This window comes from Homo sapiens, chromosome 10 (assembly GCF_000001405.40).
Source record: "Homo sapiens chromosome 10, GRCh38.p14 Primary Assembly".
NCBI lineage: Eukaryota > Metazoa > Chordata > Mammalia > Primates > Hominidae > Homo > Homo sapiens.
This window is the reverse complement of record NC_000010.11, coordinates 2,833,965-2,841,562: the sequence shown is the minus strand read 5'-3', so window position 1 is coordinate 2,841,562 and position 7,598 is coordinate 2,833,965. Positions and strand designations below refer to the sequence as shown.

Sequence of the window (7,598 nt, the reverse complement as noted above, 5' to 3'; positions counted from 1 at the left end):
CCTCAACCCGGTGGGTGCAGGATTCTCCCTAGAGAGTTCTTCGGCTCTTCCCCAGTGTGTAGACAGGAGCCCACGGCACACAGCGTGGGAAATGGAGCATGCTGTGTAACACCACATGCAATGCTGCCCCTGAGCCTACACGGGGTTAATTATCCACAGAGCTAACGAGAGAGATGGCCAGCAAAAATCATCATGGCCCTTACCTATGGTGGTGGAGGTGGGAGTGGCGACATTTTCTCCCCGGTAATTTTTGATATGATTTGGATGGTTGTAATGAATGCACAGCACTTTTGTAAAACTAACAGCCTCCTTTCAAAAATGGATCAACTTATAAAGATAAAATTGTTTGATTTTGGGGTTTTTATTTAGGGTGGTTCTTTCTAATAATAAATTTGGCAAAATAATCAGTAGGCTGTTTGGGATATTCATAGTTTGAAATAATGCAACCATATAATTTGGGAAAATGGGCACTCTTGTCTTTGTGTTCTGTATTGCAGGGAGAGGTGCATGGATCTAATTAAGTCCAAAACAGCATCACATGAGAACAAGCCGGGATTTATTAATGATCAGGACACCATGTGAAATTCATCTCCTTGACCTTAAATATTGAGATGACTAGAAAGAAATCCAATTTATTTGCTAAATCAAGAGATGGATTGTCTTACAGCCATATCTCGTCTATGTATCCTAAGCCTCACATTTATGATAATTTATTTTGAAAAATCAGCACATAAATATAATGTCAAGTTTTTTGTGGAGAGCCTACTCATCCTGAAATATTCTCACTTGTGTCATGAACACAGGTGTGCTGTAAATTTAAATGACATCTTAAAACATTTTTAATTCTGATGAGATGTAACAAACCTTCATAGAAGGGGCTGCTCCTCTGTTCTGCTTGACCCACAGATATTGGTAAACTGCAAGCTTTCTATTTCACTCTGTCTACATTCGCCCGTATTTTGTTGGAAAACAATGAATTTGGGGACAGGAAGATCTGGTTTAAACCCAAATTCTTTACTTTCCGCCCCTGTAAACTTGGCCAACACATCTCATCTCTCTGAGCCTCCCTGTAAAATGTTGATAATGGCACCATTTTAAGATTGATGATAATGTATATGTTTTGCCTGCCACAGTGTATGTGATCAATAAATAGTGGCCATTATTCCTTGCAAAAAAATATCTACCCGATGATGGGATATTGGATTAAGAATCAATGAACAAGAATGGAGTAAATAGCTCATTTTTAGACAATGAAGACTATGTCATTTAGGGCACAGACACTCATATTCTCTGAAGCAGGAGGTGATATCTCGGCCAACCTTCCCAACAAAAGGGGAGCATGTGGGGACAAGTGAGATGGTGTTGGGAGAGGCACAGTCCCGTGCAACAGCAAATTGTCTTTCCATAGGGGTGAATGATCATCTAACAACACTTTAAAATAATTATCTATGATAAGACCTGTGGGTCTTACAGTTTCAGAACCAATGGAACTTTGACTTATATCTTGCAATTTTTGTAGCGGATTTCATGTTTGTATATGTTTTGGTCAATTCCGTCGTTCTTTTTATCTCTTTGGGAAAATGGATTTTACCCTCCAGCATATAATGAGGCAGGCTGGGCAGGAAGCTGGGGGGCATAGACCCCCTTGCTAGGGCTCTGTGATGCCCAGCAGTGTCTTGGAAGCACCTCTGCCTGTCCAACCTCTTTTTGACACTTACTCTTATTTTACTTCAACTTATCCATCACCAAACGGGATTCCCTTTAGCATGGTAAACTATGGACTCCATCTGTTGCTTGTTCTATGAAGATACAGAACAGACCCGGGCAGTCACTTCCTCCATGTTACTGTCTAGAGGCTGAAGGACTGGAGCAATATCCCCAGCATTGCAATGTCCACTGCTAGCTCTTCCCTGCTGACCTGGGGTCATTGGCACAATCTGACCCCTTCCTCTGGAGCCACCTCCTCTAAGAACTCTCCCTGTTGTCCTGATCCCAGCCCTCCTTTTCATCCCTCTCTTATGCACAGCATCCCCGTGTCACTCCATCCTGGCTCCTCCATAGCACTTGTGCCGTGCTGTCCTCTGTTTACACCACCACTGGATCCTGGGCTCCTGGGGGGTAAAGAAGACGTGTGTCTCATTCGTCTTTGCATTTCCAGTGTCTAGAAGGTTGCCTGGCACATCGAAGCAGCATGGGTATCATCTGGAGTAGCATGGTCATCGTGTAGTGACTGAATGCAGGGCTGGAATCCCGTTCACACTTCACTGCGTCGCCCTCTGGTGGCCAAGATAACCCAGCCATGAGGACCCAACCGTTGTTGAAAGGAGACACCTGGCTTCTGCTCACGCAGGGAACGTAGAGTTTACTGTCATACCTGAGAGGCTTTGAGACAGAAACCATACGCAGGGGCCGCAGGTGCATCCAGGGGGTGTGTGGTCACCCTAATCACAGGGCATGAGAAAGACGGTGGAGGCAAACGACACCAGCGAATTGATCCAAGTCAAAGCAGTCATTTCCAATAACAGAGGGGCTGGGGAAGAGCTGGGACAGCTCAGCAGAGGTCTGTTGCTTGAAAATTCCAGAGCCCAACTCAGGATAACTTGAGCAAATGGGGAGGAATCGGGGATGGAAAACGTGGTAGGAGATCTGGTATGAAAGTGAGTAGAAAGCTTGTGGATGGTGCGGCAGTAGGGATGGTCTCCTCCAGGAGTTAATGAACTTGAAGTCAGTGGACTTCAGGATGCAGAACAATGAACAATGAAGTGGACTTCAAAGGAACCACTACTAATTGTCCTTCTCCCTGTTTCTCTGCCCCCAAGAATCCTAGTGACAGGGAGAAGGCTTCCACTTGGACTTGCTTGGGTCCATGAGCCTGCCTTCCCTCCTAGGCTAGGTGAGGGTTGCCTGCCTGTTGAGTATTCAGTTAGACTTCACATAAGAGAAAGCAGTAATTTTCCCAAGCGGAAACCAGGGTATTTTCGACTCTCATTGTTACCTCTTTGGACTTCTTCTCTATCTAGAAATACACTAGCTCTAATTGTGAGCAATAGCAATGTTGAGACACTTGCTTAACCCATTTTTGCTTATTTGCTACTTCTTAATTATCATTATGAGATCAATAATAATTACGAAACTACAGAAATATAAACAATCATGACATTAAACGCCAATAATATAAAACTTTTGGATATGACCTTCTTTAACGAAAGGACAAGGGCTTTCCTCATAAAAGCTTTCGTTACCAAATTGAGGACATGATTGAAGAGTTGAAATCAACTGTATTTATTTATTTTTGTTCCATAGACGATTGTGCTTTTTTTTTTTTTTTTTGGTGTGGCATCAGCTGACTATATTTCAGAATAAATATGTTGATTAAGTTAAAATGCACAAATGGGAAATGAAAATTATGTAAATTCCCTTTGTTTTTCTTGTGCTTTTTTTGTTAAGGAAAACATAAGCAATGCATGAGTAGGCACTGTAGTCTAATCACACTTTATCATGTAAATGCATATTTACAAAATTTTAAAAAGGTGGATTATGCAAACTATTGTAGGGACATACAAAAAAAATGTAGATTATTTACCAGCCAGAAAATTATGCATTTAAAAACATGTTGAAACGCTTACTCTTCACGTGAAAAACCCTAAGTGCTCCTCCTCACTGGAATGGTTGATCACACCAGTGTGTGCTTTATTTAGACAAAATATGCAGGGGAAATTCTTAAGCGATGAGAATCAAAATGTGTGCAAGAGCCGTCAGTTTCCAACGTTAAATGTGATCGTTTTCAATTTCCTGCACGGTTTTCTTTAAAATAATCACCCCTATTCTTGGAGATGTTTCTAGGATTCCTTCTCTAGAATAAGGAAAAATCAGGTACTAATTTAGGGGAAAATATATATACAAATAAGCTTTCCCGGAACTCGTTTGTGTCAGGGTTTCCACTCTTGGAGCCTTAGTTTTCCTTTACATTTTCTCCCCTGTCTCCTGATGCTTAAGTGCCCAGGGGGAGTGCTGAACAGGCAGGGTCAGGCTGCTGTGAGATGCGGTCTTCACATCACCCTCCCAGGACACTGGCGCTCACTGGCACAATGGGTTGTGCTGCCTGGAGAATTCCCTGGCATGAGCTGGCCGGTGTGCTGGGAGCAGAGACCCGAGAGCTTGGAAGGAGAGCACCGTTCGCTGGCCTGTGGGATCCTTTGGAGAATGAGGGGACCTGTGAGAGCTGGAGAGCCCCCACTTCCTAGCTTAGGGAGAAACTTCCTGCCTGAGCACTCCAAGAACTGCCAAGGCTTTCCCAAGTCCTGTTCTTACCTTTGGGGGCAGCCACAGACAACTTCAGTTCCTGTTCCCTGTAGGAGGTGAGGCTGGGCGTGGGCACTGTCCTGGCCTAGCGGCCCTCAGGACTGCGGGTGCCGTGGCAGAGCAGCCACGTGGCCCGAGAGGCGCGCCGGGGGCCGGGGGCCGCTGTCTCACGGGTCTGAAGGCCCCAGTTAACAACAGCTCTCTTTTCTCTACCCTCATTTAAGAAATGCTTGAGAAGCAGACAAGAGTCGGGAAGATACAGAGCAAAATATCATTTTTATACGGATAAAGCTGTGGGAAAATGTGGATTGTTGGCCAAGTGGGTGTCTTCATACTTCACCTCCAAATTAAAAAGACTTACTGTGGCCGGGTTCGGTGGCTCACGCCTGTAATCCCAGCACTTTGGGAGGCCGAGGAGGGTGGATCATGCGGTCAGGAGATCGAGACCATCCTGGCTAACATGGTGAAACCCCGTCTCCACTAAAAATACAAAAATTAGCCGGGCGTGGTGGCGGGCGCCTGTAGTCCCAGCTACTCGGGAGGCTGAGGCAGGAGAATGGCGTGAACCCGGGAGGCGGAGCTTGCAGTGAGCCGAGATTGCACCACTGCAGTCCAGCCTGGGCGACAGAGCGAGACTCCGTCTCAAAAAAAAAAAAAAAAAAAAAAAAAAAAAAAAAAAAAAAGGAAAAAGAAAAGACAATTTACTTGCAAAATCACAGCACATTGGCTGCAGTGACCAACAGCCCAGCAGGTTCTGCCTCTAAGAATCACTGCACAGAGAGGCACCGCTACACGCTTGCTTCCGGCAGGCAGCGGCTCCCATAGTTAGAGAAAGCCAGAGCTGATTCTCCCAACGTCTTCCAGATCTAGACCTGCCAGTCAGATGACCCAGGGCGGGCGAAGGGCAGGAGACCCAGAAGAGCTCTTCTTACGGAGGGTCTTCCCCTGGAAAAAGGAAGGAAAGAAAGCAAGCTCCCTCCCCGATCCCAAGGCCAGACCTTCGGAGGTAGAAAAATGCCTGATCATAGTCGTGTGTCTGTGTGGGGAGATTAACCTCTGCTCATCGGCCTGTGCTCACAGCCAAGGTCTGTGCAGATACAAGCGCGATGCAAGGCGGAGCCTCTGATTTCAGGAGATTGCAGCCCAGCTGCAGTGATAAAACGCATGGGACAGCTTAGGGAACAATTTACAACGTATTATTAACCACTCAAATGAAAGAGATGGATGGCAGGAGGTTTATAAACTAAGAGAGGAAACAGGGCAGGCCTCAGCAGCAGAGCTGGGCTTCCAGAGCAGGTCCTCCAGGTAGAGCTGAACAGACGGGCAGTGCCGGGAGAGGAGGAAGTGAAGGGATTCTTCTGTGTGTGTGTGCAGGAATGAGCACAATATGCAGAGATGTGTGAAGTGTGTGTGTGTGTGTCCACATGTGCATGTGTGCACAAGTGAGCAGGAACGGACACAGTGTGCAGAGATGTGTGAAGGCCTGGCCGGGCCTCTCTGGAGGATTGCAGAGTTGGAGAAAGTGGCTGGCATGGATTTGGGCTGCCTGCCCCTGGGTGGGGATTCAATGCAGACACATCACTGTGATGACTGGCTGACCATCTTCTTTCTGTAGCTTTGCCTCTGGGTTGGGGCATATCCCATAACCTTGATTACACATCTGCCAAGTAGGCACTCCTGGTTTTGATGACAGCTTGCTGAAGGATCAGCCCTGACTGCAGCAAAGTGCCATGATGCTTGTGGTTTTGAAAAGAGAAGAAGCGAGCCGGGCTGTGTCTGGCTCCTGTGAGGAGTGGCTGGCTAGCCCTGGGGTCTGGGTGACTGGTAGTATCATTGTGCTGATGGACAGTCTGGTAGACAAAGCGGGGGGTAGTTTGGCAAGGAATGGATAAGATTCTGCTGGGATAGAGGTACTGTTGGAAAATGCCAGCTGTCTAGACGGTGTCAGGAGTTATCTGATGAAGGCTGGGATTGGGCGGGATTTTCTCGCGTGTCCTCCACATCTGAAGTTGATATCTCTTTCTTCTTAAACTTTTTACAGCCTTGTGTTGAGAGCTGTCACGTGTATAGAGTTAGAGACAGATGGACCCACACGGACTCATCTGTATCTGTGTCATTCTCTGTGACTCAGTGATCCACCCATGAAATATTAATATGTTTCAGGAGAAGTAAACACTAACACACAGAGAAGCATCAAAGAAAAAGAAAGTAGATTTTTAACTCAACCAAAATATGAGGTGATTTTATAATAAACCATGCATAGTAGCTTGATGACATGTAATGATGCCATTAAATTAATTTATACCCCAACTGTACAGTAAGTACCGGTTATTGCCAGGTTATTCCACGTTAAAATAACATGGAAATGCCTATGCCATTCTATTATGTGAAAAACGAGACAAAGTGATACACGAAGCATGCTCATAAACGTGGCTATGCAAAAATTTCCCCCAAAATGTGTGCTTTGGGTTAAGACTTGGAAGGAGTACTTTAAAGGTATGTTTATTTACTTCTCTTCCATAGTTTTTACATTTTTCAAATTCCTTTCATGAGGAAAATCTATTAAATGCACTTCTGCTCTGGACGTAGGGCTACCAGCAATCCAGGAAAATTTTCAATTATTCTGAGTCAACTCGTCTATCCCGGGCCTTTTACTCAAGGATTGAAGTGAGATGAGGGTTTCAGGTGAATTTTCCACTTGCTTTCTTCTTATTCCTGCTGATGTGAAGGGCTGTGTGTGTTCCACTTATTTGTCTTAAGCACAGGCTGACCTCAGCAAGCTTTGTCACACCCAACATCACTTGGATTCATACAGCCGGGCTGGGCTCCAGGGTCCCGTACTTGGCAGCTCTCCTCAGTGTTCAAAGTGAAATTTGTCTTGTGGATGATGTTGAAGCTATGGCTTTAGAGGCTGAAATTGTTCTCTGAGCCAGGTCCAATGCTTAGGACTGAAAAAAGAATGATTGCATTTGGATGTAGTGCATTTTTCTATAGTGTGTAACAACTTTTTGCCTAGCTTCACTCTGAGCCTCTTGTTCCTACAGTTACTGCATCCAATCCACATTCTGAACCCCACTGAGCCCATATGCCACCCCCTGCAAATGGCTGTGCAGAGCTGAGTTGGGCCGAGTTAAACTTGGACATTCGGCACATGTTTTGAAGCGGAGCAGGAAGTGAGGGACAGGGTGTATGTAAAAGGAAGGGTCTGCCACTTGTCCTGTGACAGTTTAGGCTCCTTGAAGATTGAAGGTGCGTCAAAATGAGTGTTCCTTGTGTGTGAATAATCTACAGTGTCA

At 45.5% G+C, this 7,598-nt stretch overlaps 1 annotated feature.

Annotated features, from left to right (window-relative positions):
• Positions 5,480-5,680: a silencer, noted in NCBI's record as "peak843 fragment used in MPRA reporter construct". NCBI's record gives its function as "represses an SCP1 promoter by STARR-seq MPRAs in K562 erythroleukemia cells {active_cell/tissue: K562}" and the evidence as "EXISTENCE:reporter gene assay evidence [ECO:0000049][PMID:32103011]".